This window comes from Homo sapiens, chromosome 7 (genome assembly GCF_000001405.40).
Source record: "Homo sapiens chromosome 7, GRCh38.p14 Primary Assembly".
Taxonomy (NCBI): domain Eukaryota; kingdom Metazoa; phylum Chordata; class Mammalia; order Primates; family Hominidae; genus Homo; species Homo sapiens.
In genome coordinates this window covers 18,381,799-18,402,393 of record NC_000007.14, presented here as the reverse complement: position 1 = coordinate 18,402,393, position 20,595 = coordinate 18,381,799, and the positions used below count along the sequence as shown (strand labels likewise).

The 20,595-nt window shown below is 37.2% G+C and overlaps 1 protein-coding gene across 8 annotated transcripts in view, besides 1 other annotated feature; it reads right to left on the bottom strand.

Moving 5' to 3' along the window:
- HDAC9 (histone deacetylase 9) overlaps positions 1-20,595 on the bottom strand; it is a 915,592-nt gene that overhangs the window by 600,023 nt on the left and 294,974 nt on the right. The window lies entirely within an intron of this gene.
- Positions 4,920-5,635: an enhancer, noted in NCBI's record as "OCT4-NANOG hESC enhancer chr7:18436382-18437097 (GRCh37/hg19 assembly coordinates)". NCBI's record gives its function as "activates a minimal SCP1, AML or CMV promoter by ChIP-STARR-seq in primed H9 embryonic stem cells {active_cell/tissue: H9 hESC(primed)}" and the evidence as "EXISTENCE:reporter gene assay evidence [ECO:0000049][PMID:30033119]".

Sequence of the window (20,595 nt, the reverse complement as noted above, 5' to 3'; positions counted from 1 at the left end):
CCTTTTCTGGCTTAAAGATTCCTACTCAGTCTTTAAGATTTACTTCATTTCATTCCTTTAGGAGGCCTTTGTTGAGCTCTCCATCCCAGGATAGACAGCTTACTCTGTTTTCCAGAACAATTTGAGCTTACTGTATTTTTATGCCTATTATATTATATTGATATATCTGTTAACCCGTCCTACTTCTGGTTAGACTACAAGATCCTTGAGAACTGAAGAACAGGGATATAAGTCTTATTTTTCATTGTATCCACCCCCTCCAAGTCAACCATGGTGTTTAACTCAAGATCAGTGCCTAACAAATATTAGTTGTTTCCTTTCTCAAAAAGGTACTGAAGGCATTTACAAAATAGATTATTGAGAAAAGAATGAAACAAGTATAAAAACAGTCATAAATCAGGAAGTGGATATGAGAAGTGCCACAAAGCAGTGTGCAAATAAAGGCCAGTGGGAGCTGAAAAAGGGAACAACAGATTGAGAATATCAACAAAAGTTATATTCGAATTGTGTTTCTCAGAATGAGTATAATTTTGATAGAAGAAAATGGAAAGAGGGCCAGAGAAACTGCCTGTATAAAAAAATACCAGAGGCAGGTAACACCAGATTGTGAACTATGAGTAGTAACTCTGGCCAAGAGAGCTGTACGTAGCAGAATATGGAAGAAAAATAAAAACGAGGCTAGGACTAGAGCATGGGTTTTTTTGAAAGCTCATGCATTTAAGTTTACTCTATACATGATGTAACTGAGGCAAAAACCAATGCAGGTTGTTGAGCACAATTATAACAAGAGAAAATTACCTATCCAGTTCTGCTGAGGCATTGAGGTTATTCTCCATCATGAATACCATGATCACCACCATGATGATCACCACAGTATACCCTAGCTCTGCCACTTTATGATTGAAAGGGACAGATTAAGTCTTATCATGCAAAGTGCAAAGCTCCCAGAAGAATGCGGTGTTTTGCAGAATATGGCCACCCCAACCACCAGCATAGCCACTCTTTGCTCCTCTTCCCAACTGCATCTTCAAATGAGGCAAACAGCCATAGAATCATGCAAAGCAGCTGTGCAAAAGTGAGCCCAAAAGATGTATACAGAGTAGAGAGGAGCTGACCTTTCCTTGAGTATAAGTTTTTCTCAAGGAGCCCTGGAAGTGACTATCAAGCTGTTTTGTTCCCTGCTAGCTGTAATATCACAATTATATCACACTTTAAGTGGATAACACTTCATTAAAAATACCAACTAAAAGCACTTTTCAAAGAGAAAACCTTTGACATGCCATGACCAAAATGATTAAAAGTAATGAAAGCTGAACAAAAAGTAGGAAGACTTATTTTCTCCAGAAAGCCCATAAACAGCCTACAAAAGATTAAATTTAGATGAGTTTCCCAAGCGTTTTTATACCACAACTAAGGCATCTGAGACTAGCTTATGCAAATTACACTACTGTTTATTTAGCTTCTGATAGCTCAATCTAAACACTCAGGCCTCAATCCATTAAAGAAAACCTAAGAGGAAAGTAAGTTTCACAAAATGCAGACGTGGTTTGCAGGATTCAATCTCCAGTTTTTGAAGGGGAATGTCACTGTAGTCTGTTCCTCCTTTTCTGGGCCTCAGGATTCATGGCTTTCATCGTACATCTACTTTCTTGTTCCTCTGCCTCTCCTATCCAGTAGAGTCCTAATTCATCTTCATCCTCCTCTATTTGACTCACATAATTGCATGTATAAATTGATGCAGGGTTCTCAACTTTTCTAAGTGCCACTTTTCAGCATCTGCTCCCATTCCAGAAACTGTCCACCTTCCTCATCCAGTCTTTTCAAGTTCCCATTCATACCTCCCGGCTATCCTCTCAATGGATGACCCCATGTCCAACTTCACAGTGAAACCAAGAAGTCATCTGGTGGGAGGGAATACTGCCAACCCCCAGTTTCTACAGCAACATGCTTGTCTGAGACCACACCCATCTTGATCTCTGTCTTCCACTTCAGTATTGTAGTAAAACATGTCCTCTTCCCTGTCAATCACTCTCCAAATCATTGATACAGCTGTTGAACAGCAGTTATGTTGGAAATTTTACGTATTTCTACCCTTACAATCCAAAACCTCTCTCACACCTACACATCGCATGCTTTTACCTTTATTAAACTAAACTAAATAAGGGAAAACAGTCTGTATCTTCCAAAGTCCTTATAATTATTTTTCTCTCTTTACCTTCATCTAAGACATGACTCCAAAGTAGCATGGTACTTCTTCCATCTAATGTTGTCAGCTACAAGTCTCCATGCTAGCTGCTAAAATAGAAATCATAAAAGAAAGACTCACCCATAACCTCTCCAAATTCCTGTGGTTTCTGACTTTTCCTTTGGGCTCTGATGCGAATAGGCCAGTGTAAGAAGGCCCTAGGTACCCTGACACAAGGACAGTAAAGAAGGGTTCTGTGACCTCCTAAGCATACATTGCTGCTGTGCATCCTCGCTGTTCCCCAGCCTGAAAAACTAAAGAAAAGAATGTGACTTCAAGCTTGCTGGGAGCAGATTTGCCAGCTACACAGGTGCCTGGGAGCCTTATGCAGCCCTGCTCCAGCTTCTTTCCTGGAATGTGGCCTGTGAATATCTTGGAGAGACAGGAGGGATGTGATATTTCTCTATCATGCTCTGCAAAGCACACACCAAACACTCTGCTGAACCTCAAGGGAAGCAGCTCCAGTTCTCTTGATTAGAATGTCTTCCTAGTACTCCTCTGAGAAAATGTGATGCTTGGGGAAAAGAAGCCTTGCATATTTATTTGAATGACAATCACTTTCCTGGTTGCTATGATGTGCCTTGCCTCATTTAGCCTATTACTATGAGATTCCCTTGTCGACAAAACAACAAATGAAAGTTGAGTTTTACTGTGCTTTAAACAATGAGTGCCATTTGTGTCCGAATTTTAAAATCTAAATTTAGCTGAACACCTCCATACAATTTAGTTCTTCCTTTCGTACCTTTTATAACACAGAATTTTTCGTTACTGTACCAGAAATTGGGAAGAAAAAGTGTCATTTTTTTTCTTTTTGTGACACTGGGGATAACCCTCACCCTTGTAAATCTGGTACAGAAGGGTGGGTTTTTCAGTTTCCCATATTGTTTTACTCAGTACCACCTGATAAAAAGCTTATAGAAATTAGCTTTGCCACACACCACTGACCTGCAGAGTCATTTTTCAGCTTCATGAACAAGTCCAAAGGAGAGGAAATTATTTTTTATTAACCAGGTACTAAAAACTAAAGCCTTTTATAAGGGTTGCTTGCTTCTTTCCACACAGAGCAGTGGGCAAAGGAAAAGAAATCCAACTGCAATAACTTTGCCCATAGGCAGCTTTATTAAAATCTATAAGGTGAAATTTTTTAATACAATCAAATCATCATAAAATATGTTAGGTATTTATGGTAAATACAACTATTATTATACACCTTTCTCCTGTGACACCACCTCTGGGAGAAAGGGATTTCGTATGTTTCAAAAAAAAAATGAGCCTTTTTGTAAGGTGCATTTGGGTTCCTCTAGTTAAGGTCAAGTTGCATTTTCCATTATAAACATGTTTCCAGGGGTTTATTACTTTGTCATAAAAATCTGCTTGGGGCTAAAATACAGCATATAGAGTCTTAGCTCAACAGCACATTCTTTTTAAAAATGCATCAGAATTGGCTAAACTTAGTTTAACCATATTTAAATGTAAAATTATGACTGAAATATATCTTAAAGAATTCAATGGGCTAACACAGCTCAAGCACTGGGTTGAGCAAAGGCTCATACGCACAATCCTGTATCTTTCCACTTGTCCAATCTAAGGAACTATAAAGTCCATCACAATGTTTCCAGGTTAAAAAAAAAGGCAAATGTTGTAAGCTATAAAAGACAAAAAGAAACAAAAACAAAACAAAAATAAACAAACTCAACTCTAAGGCAGTGCTTTACTTTCTGAAATTTGAAGTAAAAGGGTTTCCCAAGAACAAAATCTTATTTTGTTTCACAATGTTCACATTAAGCATACCTTCTTTTCTACATGGAAAATACAAAGACATCAGTTAAAATCTGAGAAAAATATGGAATCAATTGAAAAACTGATATTGTTCATTATTAAATCATGCTAGTCTATGTTTTTCTGAGTTGTGCTTTAAATAGTTTTTGCTTATTTTGAAATACTGTTAGTTGAAGAAGGACAGCCCTTTGAAGCAGTTGTGGAAAATACTCATAAGTAGAAGCTACAAGGGATGACTTCTAGGATTCGGGTTTAGAAATGGATCATAACACCCTGTAATACAAATTTACTTTAGAATAAACTTGGAATTTCAGGTTGGGTATTTAAACCTTGGACAAATCTCCGAACCTCAGTGGGTTTCAGATCCCTCATCTGTAAGATGATGTGGCTGAATCAATGAGGGTCAGGATCTTGCCAGCTCCCGCTTCTTAGGATGAAATACACAGACAATACCTGGTTTGGGAGGCTGCTACTTTGTGACATTGTTAAAATGACACCACAGGCCAGCCCCTTCTCTGGCCCTCCTGACTGATTTAATACTACCAATAGGGTCAATAACACTCAGGAATGTGGAATTTCTGTCTTTCAAACTCTGATGTAAATTTCACTACAACTGGCTTTTTGTTATCAGGCAATGGAGAAGGGATGTCATAGAGAATGTATTTCCATATGGCAGAATGTTTAAAAATCACTTATATTTTAATTTTTCCATATATTACATGAATTTTAAAAAGCAGATTGCATTTCTGAATGATGTCTGGTTTAGTTAACATTAAAAGAATTTTGCATTCTCAAAGACACCCACTAACACTGGGAGGATGGGAAGCTAAATGTTTTCTCAGGAGGTAGGGGTGATTACATTTTCCTAAAACAGTGAATAAAGTGTACGATCCATCTCCCAAAAATTTGCCTAGGGAATAATCCCTATGCTGATTTGCCTTAATGAAGAGCTTTGATTTCAGATTGCCCCTTCAAGATTTTGTGACATGTTTTTCTTTCTGTAATAAAAAAGCATTTGATGCCTCTCAGTGCATTCTGAGTTGAAAATACAGTGGATTTTTACCAACAAAGTTCTTAGGTAACTTAGTGCTAATATGTCAATGTCAATTTCCTTTCTTTGAAAAACAAAAACTATATGACCACTAATATACAAGGACCACTCCCTTCTGCCCCCGTATTCTCTCGTCCACACATCTTCACCCATTTAAAAGCTGTGTGCCTTCTATTTCCATTCACATCCATTATATCCCTTAATCACCTATTCTCATGCACCCTAAATCTATTCTCTCAATACCCTTTTGTATCTGCCTAAAGATAGGAGTCGACGATGATCTTTTTTTTTCCAACATAGAGTGGATTTCTCTCACTCAGAAGACTGAATTCTGGGGCAAGGGTGGGGAGCAATCGGTATTGGGAGAGAAGGTATTACATTGTAAGTCAAAAAGAAATGAACAAACAAACAAGTAAACCAAAAAAAACAAAAATGTGTTTTACAACACAATGACAACCTTTGACCCAAGTAAATTCACCCATCAAAATCGGCAACAAGGAATCAGGAGAACTTGTGGGATAAACATGCTAACTGAAGTATTTTTCCCATGTAAAATTCCAAATATTTAGCAGTCTTTAATATATTGGCTAAACACAATTATCACCGCTGATTAGAAACCTGGAATTTTTAAGCCTGGTCTGCGTAAAGGAGTGTGAAACTTAGGGGCATTGTCTCTTAACAGTGACAATCAAGGGTAAAAATTAACACCTTGACCTCTATCCCTTAAAACAATTTCCAGGATAGAATCTAATTCAAGTAAAAAATCAAGAGCAGCCTAAAATGGAAAATCAAGTTAGAGAGGAGAATATACGGAGAAGGTGGGGAGGGGGGAATATCAACTCCTCTTTGCTTCCAAGCTATTGGGAATATTAATAAACTAACTATATATCCTGTGCTGAATGCAATCAGATGAGCTCATCTATACTATCCCTCCACCCTTCTACAGCATCCTGCCAATACCTGCGTAGTTCTTTTCATTTCTGTAATCATCTTATAAGTTTTTTAGCCTATTTATTGTCCATATTCCTCACTAAAATGTAAATTCTGTATGAGTGGGGAGTTTGTGTTTCTTATTCACATCTACTCCCAGTGCCAGTGCCTATTATAGTACCTGGCACACAATGTCCCTCGGTAAATATTTGTAGAAGAAAGGAAAGAAGGAAACAAGGAAAGAAGGAAGGGAAGGCAAGGGAAGGGAAGGGAAGGGAAGGGAAGGGAAGGGAAGGGAAGGGAAGGGAATGACACTTTGAGAGTCATTGGCAGGACAATCTACTCAGCTAGAAACCATATAAAAAGACTGGCTTGTCCCTACATCCTTCCTAATAGAATAAAAAGTGTAATTTCAAAATATTATAATTTATCAAAACATAATTTAAAACAGAATCAACTACTAGGCCAATATATAGGCTTTCAAAAGAAGGTAGCTACCTCCTAAATTTTTCTCACATAGAAAAATGGCATCAAATGTTAATGGTATCAACATGAAATTCTACAGATCAAAACTTTTTGAGGTAAAATTAAAGGCTTTAGGCTTTCTCTGAAATAAGGTAACGGCCTTGGGAGAACAGTGGTTGAGTGTTTAAAAAGGTAACATGTTTAAAAAGTCTAATATGTCTTGGCAATGTCAAGTTTCCGATACATAAAATGTATCTTTGTTGTGATCATAAATAATATCAAAGAAATCCAATCTCAGGAAAAAATAATCAAACTTGAGAATACTCTAACAAAGAATTCTCTCCTTCCCATAAGAGTGGGGAGGTATCTAGTTTTTTTTTTTTTTTTTGAAGCCTTAGGTCACTAAAAATATAAATGTGAAAATGTCTGCCATAATTCATTTATTCTGCAATTCCACAATCTATATGCACAAAATTACCACATGATAGTCCCATACATGCATTAATTCCAATAGAGAAGAAGTGCAAAGGGAGTCCACTCCAAACAATTAATTATACTGCTTTAATTTTTATGTTGCATTTTCACACATTATCTCATTAAATACTCAAAATTACCTAGTCAAGTTGAGTATTAAGTGAGATAATGTGTGAAGTTGCTAAAAATTAGCCCTATTTTAAGGTTAAACTATTTGCCAGGTCACACAGCTGGTGGAAGAACCGTGACTCAAAGCCTGAACTTACCTCAACTATCATCCTCCCTCCAGTTTCTCATAACTGTCTCCATACACCACAGCATTTTACCAGGTACTCCTATTTTGGTAGAAAGTCAAACAGTGCAAGTATCAATTTAAATCCACCTTGTAAAATTACGATATTATCATTTTTACTGAAATTTTTTGGTAAATCACATTGACCATCATATTGAGTCAGAATACTATTAAATGTCTGAATACTTGTGTATTTAACTCAGTGGAAGTTTTGTCTTATTTTGTTAAATTATGTTAAATGAAAAATTTCAAACTAAAATATGAAACTATTTAATAAATACATAGGTAATTGTGTTGCTGATTGGCCTGCATAGTGTCCTTTGGTATCAGAAATGACACGCTCCTCCATACAACAGTTCGGCTAAGACTTTACCTTGCCATCTTGAAAGCAATAGCCTTGTTACAGCCTGACATGGTAAATCTCCAGAGTACAGTTCTTAAATAATGAATTTCAACAGAAATGAAATGTAGTCTATTGTACTAGCCCTTGATCCTCAAGATATACTTTAAAATAACTTGTGAAACTTTCCACACACAGATACACACACACACAAAACCACACATAACACACATGCATACACACCCAGGCCCAGTCCCCTTGGACCACTGAATCAGAATTTCCAAAACAGGGTCCCAATATGTGTACTTTTTAAGAACTCCACAGGGGATTCTGTTTAAGAGTCAAAATTCAGAAGCACTCCTAGGAAGTGTAACATTTGTTTCCTCTGACAATTTTTAAGAATAATATTTTATGGCATTGTAGGAAAATGATGCTGAGCAATATCTCTAAGGATTCTAGACGATGCTCCCTCTTAATATTTCCAATCACACCACCTGCAATAACCCTAACTTTTCCAGCCTCTATTTTAATTTGTTAAAATAAATGTGACACCTACAGAATTTTAGTAATAAGATTAAGACAGCCCCAACCTTTGAGTGTCCCTTTAACAAACAAGGTATAATTGTAAAGGATAGCCTCTTTCTAAATATTTAAGGCCCCTTGTAGAAATGCTAAGTGGACATTATTTAAAGACTAAGGTACACAGAAACCTGACACACTCACTTTTAATAGGGAGGTAGACTGTTGTTTATTTAGCTTTTGAAATCAATCCTAAATTTGGCTTTATGGAACCAAAAAAGTCTAGCTTTAAATTAACAGACTGCCTTCTATTGTCCAAGGGATAATTTGAACTTCACTGAGACATGTCTATGAATGGAAATAAAAATAACTCACATTAAACTCTAAGTACTTCCCCACACGCAATTCACTTGCCACAAGGCCCATTGTTCCGTGCGTGGCTTTTAAGCAGCCTGTAGGAAATTTTCACTGAAACAATTTCCCATAACCAAGAAAAGGAAGGCCAAAATGATTTCACTCAAAACAAATAAAACAAAACACAAAACACAAAAAATCAAAAAGCTTCCTAAGCTTTCAGCATCTAGGGTATTAAAAGCAGCTCTGTCAGGGTAGCAGGAATGGGAAATGGGAGGTTCCCATAATACTCTAAAATTCTGTGGCTTTAATTTTAGCTCACTTTCCTCCTGCACTTCTAAACAAAAATCGACTCCAGATGAGTCTTTCTGTTCACAGTTCTACATGCCTCCCCCTCCCTGCCTCACCTCATCCATCCTTTTAAAAACTTAATTTTAAACCTAGAAATATTTCAAATATCTAGAAAAGTAACAAAAATAGTAGGAGAAGCATGCCTGATTTAAAACAGGTGACCATTTTGCTGCATTTGCTGCAAATCTCCTCTGTTCCCTCTACTCCTTTACTATCCAGGTCTAATCCATCTTGAAAAGAACCTCCCTGATCCTATCTGGTCAAGATTATCTCTCCTCCAAAATACATTTTTCCTAATTCTAATTTTGACCAATTTTATGTTTCTTCTCTTGTCCAGGATACTTCTTATAAACTTTACTGGTTTAATTCACTCTTCTTCTTAGCCTAAATTAATTTCTTTAGTGATTATTGTTCCTCAGATTTTCTATTTCATCTTGAGCCAATTTATGTTTTTTTAAAAAAAAAAAATCCATTTTATCTAAATTTTTAAAATCATCAGCAATTTTTTTGTATTTACTTAAGATTTTAATATCACAAGTGAATCACTGTTCTGCCCATTCCCATTTCTAATAATGTTCATACATCCCTCCACACTTAATTATTTTCTTTAAAAATCTTGGTGAAATTTTGTCTATTTTATTAGTATTTCCTTTTTTTTTTTTTTTTTTTTTTTTGCCAGTCATGGCCAGACCTACATTCACACCTTTTTAGTGAACTGTTAACTCTGAATGTCAAGTCCAGCAAATAAACAGGGTGAGAGGAAAAGTATATTCAGCTGCTTCCCTTAGCCCTCGCTGGTTCTTTCTAGTCTAAATCATATCTGAGTGACCCCTCCCATGTGAAGAATGAAATATCATGTCCTCTGGAAAAATAAAAGTATAACTCAAATACTTTGTTGATGACAAGGTAAAATACTAACAATATCAATAATAAATTGATCTGGATGCGCAATACACAGAGGTCAATCTCTTACCATTCTCTGGAAAATTGCATTAGTTGGATTGCAGATGTCAGAAAAGGTGCCAGAGTGAGAACAGGATTTAAGCTAATAATTATAATAATTATAAGAATATCACGTTTGCATTTACCAAATACCTATATTTACCAGTAACGGATTTTAACATCATTAGCATCACCCATTAAGAATATCTGTCTATCTATCTATCTATCTATCTATCTATCTATCTATCTATCCATCTATCTATCCATCTATCTAGAGAGACAGAGATTAGATATAGACAGTGTGTGTGTGTGTGTGTGTGTGTGTGTGTGTGTGTGAGAGAGAGAGAGAGAGAGAGAGAGACAGAGAGAGAGAGAGAGTGACAGAGACAGAGATAGAAAGAGAATGTATAATCATGTACCTGAAGGTTCACAGCACACTTGTGGATCATATTATAATAATCCCAGATTGCCAGGGAATCTAAGGTCAAGATAGGCTGAGTAACTCACTCAGGTAATACAACTTGTAAATGGTCATTCTAGAATGAGAATACAAATCTGTGTGACTCAAAACTTCTCTCTTTTCACTGTGTCTTGCTCACCTCATTAAAGAAATTGCTAGTTAAATTATGAGGATGAGGAGGTCATTTTACATAAGGGAAAGATACAAGTAAAAGTAAAGTGTGGGAAAGTGAAAGGCACCATGGAGGAGATAGGCAAAGTGCCTATTGATAATGGGCAATGCTTACTACATACCAGGCTCTGCTGTGAGCACTAGGCCTGTGTGAACTCATGGAATCCTGTAAATAACCCCATGGTAAAAACTTCTATTGCCCTCATTTGACAGAAGAAGAAACCAGAGAGCAAAAAGATTAAGTAACTTGCCCAAAATTGTCTGTGTACTAAGTGAGGGGTTTATATCCAGGCATCTTACTTCAAAGCTGCCATTCTTAATAGGTGATAAAGATGAAAAAGTGGAGACATTTTCAGAAGCTCTCTAGTATCCTCAACATAGTTCATTATTTCTAAGTGTGTCTTCTGGGTAACACTATTTGTGTGGAGGTGGAATGTTAATATGTTATGTGAACAAAAGGTTTTGCTGGCCAATTGGTGAAGGCTATGCAAGGTTTAATGCAGGTAAACAGGTCACTTTGTGACAGGATTTCCCGAAACATCTAAAATATATCACTATACAACTTCAGATGGCCAAGAAAAGGATGTAGGACACAATGTTCTCTCTTCTTTTTTACTTTCTTTTTTTTTTGGGGGGGGGATGGCGTCTCGCTCCATCGCTCAGGCTGGAATGCAGTGGCACGATAGCGGCTCACTGCAGCCTCTGCCTTCCGGGTTCCAGTGATTCTCCTGCCTCAGCCTCCCACATAGCTGGAATTACAGGCACGTGCCACCATGCCCGGATAATTTTTGTATTTTTAGTAGAGACGGGGTTTCACCATGTTGGCCAGGCTGGTCCCGAACTCCTGACCTCAGGTGATCTGCTCACCTCAGCCTCCCAAAGTGCTAGGATTACAGGCATGAGCCACCGCGCCTGGCTGAACTTTGTTCTTTGAGATGGAGTCTCACTCTATTGCCCAGGCTGGAGTGCAATGGCACAATCTTGGCTCATTGCAACTTCCACTTCCCGGGTTCAAGCAACTCTCCCACCTCAGTCTCCCTAGTAGCTGGGACTACAGGTGTGTGCCACCATGCCTGGCTAATTTTTGTATTTTTAGTAGAGACAGGATCTCATCATGTTAGCCAGGATGGTCTTGAACTACTCACCTCAAGTGATCTGCCTGCCTTGGCCTCCCAAACTGTTGGGATTACAGGCGTGAGCCACCATGCCCAGCCCAAACACAATGTTTTCTAATCTTCCTTAGAATGCTTATTGTTTCACAGAGAAGCTGGGGACAGATATATTCTCATAAGTCACTTCTCCTTGGCCATGCAGCTAGTTAGTGGCAAAACTGGGGCCAGAACTGAAGACTTCTGGCTGCTGGACTAGGCTTTGTCTAGGCACAGACTGAAATATATCCTTTGAACAACGTACAGTAATTTAAGGTTTTATGAGCAGGAAAAAGCCGGACACAGAATATACTGAAGTGGAAAGAGAGGAGTAGCCTGTACCAAACTACTACAGAACTCAAGAATGACATGCAAAGTGGCCTGGTCTAGGATGTGACAGGAAGGAAAAACAGGAACTAAGAATAAAACCAAACATTCAAGAACATAAGTAAACCCTAAGGGTTTCTAGGAACCAATGGTTGCTGTGAGAGACAGACCTTGCTGACCTACTGGGATCTCAGCCATAATTCTGAAAAACCTAAGAGCAGGCACTGAAACCCCCTCTCCAGCTCTCTCAGTGTATTCCAGGGAGTGATCAGTTGCCAAGAGCCATGCAAACACTACTGAATTGTGTCTAGTCATTATCCGAGAATTACTTTTAAATCTAGCTATATTCTTCCTAACAAAAGCCAAGAAAATCACGGTCAAACCTTTGAACAAATAAATGTTCAGTTCTCACCCCTTGCCTCATCCCCCATTACTTCCCTTCTCTACGACGTGTGTGTGTGTGTGTGTGTGTGTGTGTGTGTGTGTGTGTGTGTGTGTTGTCTTTCTCTAGGGTCAAACACAACTGAGATCTAAAAATATCTTATTTTTTCAGAACAACTACACTAATTGATGCGTATGGAGAACATGTTAGTCATGTTCACAAAATGCCAAAATAAATATAAAACTGTATCCTCAGGAAGTCACACACTCTCTAAAGTATACAATCCCAGAAGCCAACTTTTATTAACCCCTCTTTGCCTTTGCTGCATTTTTAGAAAATCAAAATAGTTATCTCTTTCAGAGTATCACATGATATTAATGATTAGTTCACAGTTCCTTTTCCATATTTTGGTCCCTTATCATCTAATCATTAAGTCCAACTGTCTTTAAGGTAAACATTTTCTTTTTGCTTATGCATATACTTGACATACATAAATTCCTTCCCATCATCTTGTGGCAGAGACCACAAGCCAGCCACTAATGTTTCTCTCCTCCTACCATATACAACCCAGCCTCCCTTGCAGTTAGGTAAAGTGACAACCTTGTCTCCAACAGAATGTGAGTAGAAGTAACAAGTGCCATTTCAGATCTAGCCTTTACAGAATGACCATGAGCACTCGTCCAGATGCTGTTTCCCTTCTAGTGCCTGGGATGCAGACATCCTGAGCAACACTGGAAGCCATGTGCTGATTTCGAAGCTACCATCACTACAGGGCCCTGAAGAATACAGGAGAGCTGCTGTGCTGTCCTAAATGCCTATAACTCCAGGACTCTTACGTGAATGAGAAATAAAATATTATTGTGATTATCCACTGATTATTTTGTGGTCTCTGTGCTACTACTCCTAGCCTAGCTTAACAGAGAAAGTGAATTGACAACTTGAAATGAATTGGGACTGTAACAAAGGCTCAACACTTAAGTATTAGCTTAGTGGCCAAAATCAGGTAGCAAAAAAACAGACAAAACAAGCTGGAATACTGGCAACTCATACCAATGAAAAAACATTCAGTAAAACTAAAGCCTACAGCTATTCGAAAGGCAATCCAATTGCCTAGTGAAACTGCAGCTTCAGCGAACAAGAGGGTTCAAGAGGCCATGATGTTCTTATATATTGTTGATTTTTGCCACTGACTGCAAGGTACGACAAGAAAAAGGTTAGTTCAGACAAAAATTAACTAGAAATGAAAAGGAATGAGAGTGTCAAGAAATTTGATACTTTGAAGAGCTGAAAAATTACACTGCATCTGATTCCCAAAGAGCAAAAATAAATATAAAAGCTTTGAAAAACAAAATTCCATTAAAATTCCCAATTCACAAAAGACTTAGTTCTGTAACAAAAATAGTATTGTAGCTAAGAATAAAGCCACCCCACCAATTCCCCCAGTCTGTTGTTTCAGATGGACTCAAGGTGGCCACCACTGAGTAGAGAAAGAAGCACGGGGCATGGAAAGAAAGAAAAAGAGCAGAGTTAGGAACTACATTTAGAACAACTTTTCATGTGTTTCCTGGTCACGGAACTGACTAGAAGCAATATATCAGAACCTGTTAAATTTCTGAGGGAACTAAAGTACTAAGAAACTACAAGTCTATGGTTTAAAAAAGCAAACTCTCTGATTAAAATTTCAAAAAAGCACTGTGAAACTAGTTCTCAAAAATACTTCCTCCTTCCCTTCTCCTCTATCCTCACAGGCTGCACAAAACAATATTGGGGCTTCAGACTTACATGGAAGGGATGGGGGCTCTGAAAGCTACACAGCCCTCACTGTGGACACCTTCCCTACCAGCTACTTCAGATGTGCTCAAGGAGGATCAGTGTCAAGGGAGAACCTCTCAGGGAGTCATGGCAGGGGTACTGGGAACATAAATAAAATACTCTAGGGACAACTTGGGAATGGTCTTATTTGATTATCTTAGCCACACGTACAAATATAGCAGGGTGTTTTTTAGTCATAACATTTACGTCGTTTTTGTAAAACAAGCCTACATGAATATGTGAAATAAACTCTCTCCTGGATAAGATGGGCCCACATAGATCCTATGTATAATTTAAAAATATTCTTACTAGAATTTAAAACTAAAATTTCAGAAATTATTTAAAGTACAAGAAATCACTGGGTTACTGCAATCTAACGTGAATGGAAAGCTTTTTTCTTTTTTTTTTCTCTCCACAGATTATTTTGTCCTCTGTAACCTACTTTAAGACACACAAAAAATGTTAAGATGTTTTTCACATAATGACATAATAAAATTTATTGCTTTACTGTCACAAACACAGTCCCCAACAAAGACTATAACCACATCACACTATTGGAATTCATATAAAAAATATCAAGAAATGAGATGTTTTATTCGCTTATCCCTATACCAACTGATATTATTATTTAATCATTTATTTTGCCACTGAAATAAAAGGTTTTTAAAAGTACATACTGCCTTAGTTATTTCTAAAATTCTAAAGATGAGCAATGGTGCTATACCACTGGCTTGGCTAGGAGTACTACTTCAGTTGGAATTTCTCTCTGTTCAGCCTACCTCCTTCCTCATTTTCTATGAGTAGTCAAAATAGCAGAGTATCACTTTTGGAGTGACATGGCATTTCGGGAAAAGCCCACACGACAACTGTTTAAAATATTCTTTGCAAGCTTCTGACTGAGAAATACAACACAGGCAATTTGGAGAAAGCTTTAATTGTACTCAGATTCTATAATAGCAAAAGAGAATAAAATGTGGGACTTTTTTTAAATGGGCAGGATTATGAATCCAGCATTTAATTGAGCCCTTTTTATATGCAAAACTCCTCACTGGGTACCAACATATTATATTGGCTGAAAATCTACACATAAATAGAACAAGAATAGTGATGGACAGAAAGCTGTGGCAGGGTAGATTCCCCCCTTGATCCAGCCCATGCTGAAACATAGAAAAGATTCAACTTATAAAAATGGGAGCTTTTTAAAGCAAAGAGAGACAAGCCCTCTTTGAGCAGGAGATACTCTTCCTCTTCGAATCTTCTTTTATCCTCAGAAATGGAAGCTCCATATTCCTTATCTATCAGCAGAACTAGGCAGATCTGAGACTGGCAATCTTCATGAAAGGCCAGACCCAAGAGGGTTACAAAGACATAAAAACACTGATGAGCTGCCACATTGCGGGAGGTGAAGAAAATGGTAAGAGAGAGCTGAAGGGAGAGAATCCATGGTAGATATTTCTGTCAAAAGCAGAGAATGAATTTGGCCATGTGGTGTATCCCAAGAGACCAGACTAAATTCCATTAGTGGAATTCAGTAAAAGAGCTGAAATGACAAAAGAAGGCAGTGTGTAATCTTCTTTTCTCTGAGGACTGAATACGAGTGGGAATAGATTGCTTGAAACTATAGCAATAGAACAGTCTCTTTTCCAGCTATGGTTTAATCGTGATGAGTTGCTTTGATTACTCTAACTAGGCTGCACAAAAGGGACTGGGGGACCACCTCATAGAGTGTAATGTTACATGCGATGTTCTTGTAAGTGTTTAATTCCCCTCCACTGGTAAGTGGGAAGGTTCAAGGCGAGCGTGACCTGGGTTTCAAGTTAGGGTGTGGCCTCAGGTTGTTTTGGCTTCAAAAGGTATTAAGTAACATGCATAGGGGGGCCACAAGGCTTGTCTTAGAGAGGCCATTGCAAAATAACATTACAAAATAAGATTTTCTATGCAAGTTCAATGAAAATAAGACCTCATTTAAAGGTCTAAAACTGGAGTTGATAGAAAATACAAACCAAGTGAGGTGAGGAGTAAGGAATTACTCAAGGAAATGAAAACCATAAAGAAGTGAGAAAACTGCACATATATGATGCAGGTGCCCAGGGTGCACATTATGGGGCTGCCAGAAAGTTAACTTATGAAAAGATCTATACAAGGTACATGGTGTCAGAGGTGCAAACAAGCAATCTATGGGAGTTCAGAGTTGGGGATCGGGGAGAGCTTCATTGATGAGTTAAGCTGAGCCTGAATGGCTTTCACCAGAGAGAAATGGGGTAGACAGATATATCAGGAAATCAAAAGCACAATGATCAGAAGAAATAGAAAATGAATAAGTATAATCATCTAAATACTAAATGCTAAATCTTTGCAGAAACAAAGAGTGCGTTAAACATTAAAAGCAGCTTGAAAGGTAGTTTTGGGTATATGGAATGTGAGTTTTTTTTTTGACAAGCAAACTGGGAAGAAGGAAAGGAGCTCAGTGAAATTAAATATCGTCCACTCTATAACATACTGAGCAGGTCCTATGCTAGGAAATTTTTTCTTCCAGCTCTTAGAGAATGCCTGTAATGACCTCAATATTATAAAATGTATTTAAAAATAAAAAGATTCAGTGCATTGGGTTTGTTTTGCAATAAAGTGGTCACTATCATGTTGTTTAGAGGTATATTCTAAAGCCAATTTATGAGAAATGGCTATTAGCGAATAGTTCCAGAAGAACAATATCGTAAGTATGACTATGGCCCTTATTTTAGTCAATTTGAAAATTGTTATATCTGATTAGATGTTCTCAAATAATACTCTCCTGTCAACAGAAGAGGAAGGGAAAGACCCTACCACAGACCAGAAAACAATACAATGTATCTATAGTGATATAGTGATGTATCTTTCCAAAATACACTCAGATTTACTTTAGTGGGTTAACATATCCCAGACCAAAATTGAAAACTGGCTACATTCACTAGCATACTAAGGCAACTTTATTCATTTCTTATGGTGTTATTATCCCAAAGGAAAATGATATGATTTTAGAAGCACACATACTGTGAGAAGAACGTTATTGAACATACACCTATCTAGTATCATTAACAGTCTTAAAACATTCCTGCATTTGAGAAGTGCTTATTTCTTATCTGGAGCTGTAATGTGTTTATTTGATTCCATCACTTTGCCTCTTTTTGCAGTAAGGTGCCTATCACACATAGAATTAAGGGTTCTCGAATGTCTATAATAAGGAAATAAATCTTTTCTTTTTCAAAGTTAACACTTTTGGCATCCACACCAACTTGAATCCAAGCTTTACACATTGGTGGGCCAGGAAAAGAAGGATTGAAGGATTATCTCAGGCAGAGTCTCACATTTGCAAAAGGTAAATAGAAACAGAAAGGTCTCACTTTACATCCAACTGTGATGTTTTGTCTCAAAAGCCTAACATCCTTCACAGGAGAAATGTGTCTATCTAATCACCTCCTTGAAGGACTGAATAGGAGCTACTGGGATGGAATGAGGAGCAGACACAGAAAGTAGAATAAAATAAACCCCCTTCTGCTGATGAAAGATCAGGCCTGGACTTGAACTTAACCTTTTTTTTTTTTTCTTTTTTCTCCCCAATCCTGACATCAAGCAGGGCAGAGATCCATAACATGCTGGCTAATGGCTTATGGGATAACTCAACTACTGGTTTCCAGTCACAACCCTGCTGCTTTCTGCATCAGTGATTTTGGAGTATTTACTTGCTCTCCCTGAATCTCAACTTACTGATGTTTAAAAGCAGAACGCCATTATGTATTTCAATAAGCTGTTAAGGGAATTCAAAAATAAGCTAAGGAAAAAATATTGAATATTTGATATTGAAAAATATTAGTTTCCAATGTTTCCCTTCATAATTTTGACAGGCACTCCCTTTCAGAATTAAATAATATAGAAAGTAAAAAATACAATAAAATAACCTGTAATATCTCAATCTTTAAAAAATGACTATAAATATTTTAGCATTATTCAATTTAATCCTTCTAGTACATATGTATATGTTTTGAGTGTACGCATTTTTTTTTTCTTGAGATAGGATCTCCCTCTGTCCCTCAGGTTGAAGTGCAGCGGCACAGTGACGGGTCACCACATTCTCCTCCTGGGTTCAAGCAATCCTCCCACCTCAGCCTCCCAAGTACCTGGGACCACAGGCACACACCACCACACCTGGAAAACTATTTTATTCTTTGTAGAGATGAGATCTTCCTATGTTGCCTAGATTCATCTTTAACTGTTAAGGTCAAGTGATCCTCCCACCTTGGCCTCCCAAATGGCTGGGATTACAGGCATGAGCCACCATGCCTGGCCTATGTGTACTTCCAAATAATATTTTACAAAACATTGTAAAACATACCCAGTATGTTTTGTAACTAGTACATTTAAGACAAAGAAATTTAAAATGTTGTAGTAATTTCATCAGTTCTTTCTTTTTTTTTTTTTTTGAGACGGAGTCAGAGTCTCGCTCTGTCACCCAGGCTGGAGTGCAGTGGTGCAATCTCGGCTCACTGCAAGCTCCGCCTCCCGGGTTCACGCCATTCTCCTGCCTCAGCCTTCCGTGTAGCTGGGACTGCAGACGCCCGCCACCACGCCGGCTAATTTTTTGTATTTTTTTTTTTTTAGTAGAGACGGGGTCATCAGTTCTTTCTTGTATTGATTTCTTCCTTTTCTTTCATGCTAAAAAAGCTTTCTTTAATGTTAGATGCATATCTATATTATCTTCAAGCTTTTTCCTGCTTTCTTTTTTTACATTCAATCCTGTGATCCATCTGGAATTTATTTCAGTATATAATGTGAAGTAAAGGACTATTTTTTTCTCCAAAGAGCCAGTTTTTCCCAGAATCATTTCTGAAATAACCCTTCATTTCTTTACTAACTTAAATGCCAGTTTTATCATATACCTGAACAGGGTGCCAAAATGTTTTAATCCACGTGCCAACTTTGATAGCCTAATAGTGTTCATCTAGTTCTGAGATCACGTCCAGGCCCAGCAGGGAAATGTGACAACATCAATTACTAGTGAATGTCTACCATGGTAACAATATGGGGAAAGAAGGTAACTGTGCCACAAATGTGCCATCCCTGCACGAGCACATCGATTTCTGGGTTTTCTAGTTCATTTCTATTGCAGCTTTATGATATGCATTTTAATATCTTGTAGGCTGGGTGACTTTATTTCTCTTCTTAATCAAATTATGTATGGTGGTTCTTTAATGTTCATTTCAGATGAATGTCATTTTCTCTTTACAAGTTTCCTTAAAAACTTGTTAGAATTAATTTATAACAGTACATTTATTTTAAAAGTATGAAAAGACATGACATCTTTACCACAATGCATCTTTCTACCCAGAAATTTAAGTTGCCCCATTTAGTCACGGATTTTCCAAATTAAAAAGAAAATATGTGTGTGTGTATATTTGTATTTGCACATTTATATACATATACATACACACTCATACACATATACAGATATATATTTCATGTTCTATACTTCCTTAAGTTTCAGTATATTTTATGTTTTTTGTTGCTATCATGAATGGAGATATTTGTCTATAACTGTTTCCAAATAATTACTTTAAAATTATTACTTTTATATGTATTTTACATCCTCAGCTTACTATTCCTTCATGTCATTTCTAATAATTTTTCTGCAAACACATTTTGACTTTTAGGTAGACAATGACATCGTATCTGAAATTATTAGACTGCTATCTGAAATTTTCTTGTTCATTTGTTTCCTTATTGTCTTTCTCTACACAGTCACTCTAAATAATACACTCCATGGGCGCAGGCCTTGCCTGTCCTGTGCACAGTTTGATCTCCAGGGCTTAGAAAAGTAACTGCCATATGGCAGATACTCAATACTTAATGAACGACCCTGTTCCTTGAAATAAAATCTTGCAAAAACAATGGCAATATTCCCTTCATATTTCTAAGAATTATATCTCAAAGGTTTTCTTCCTGACACAATACATTCATTAGAACTTCCAGAATACCATGGTGGAGGTGGCAACTTTTCCCTTATTTTTTACTAAAAATGTAGTAGTTTTCTATTACATATATAATTGATATTTCAATCTGGCTTGGGAATCACTTGTTACTATTAAGAAAGCACTTTCTATAACTATTTTTGTTTCTTGTTTTATTTTGTCTTATCTTTTTTTTTAAGATATGGAATAGATATAGAACATATTTTGGATATTTCCTAAAGGAAAAATACCACGTAGGTTTTCTCCTTTGGTCTACCAAGATGATTTACTGTTTGAGTGGAAACAATAACTGGATTTTTTTATGAGGGAGTTCCAGACTACTTTGAGACTCTCATATTCACATTAGAAAAACATTATTACTACGTTTAGAAAAATGTTACTCACACACACATTTGTATTTAACCTCAGAGATGAACTGGCATTAAAGTCTTTCATGCATGGACTATCCAAGAGTCCATATACCTGAGGCGAAAAATAGGAAACAAGCAACAACAAAAAAAGTAAGAAGCTAAAATATTTTGTAACGTTAAATATACTGCCAAACCCTGAAA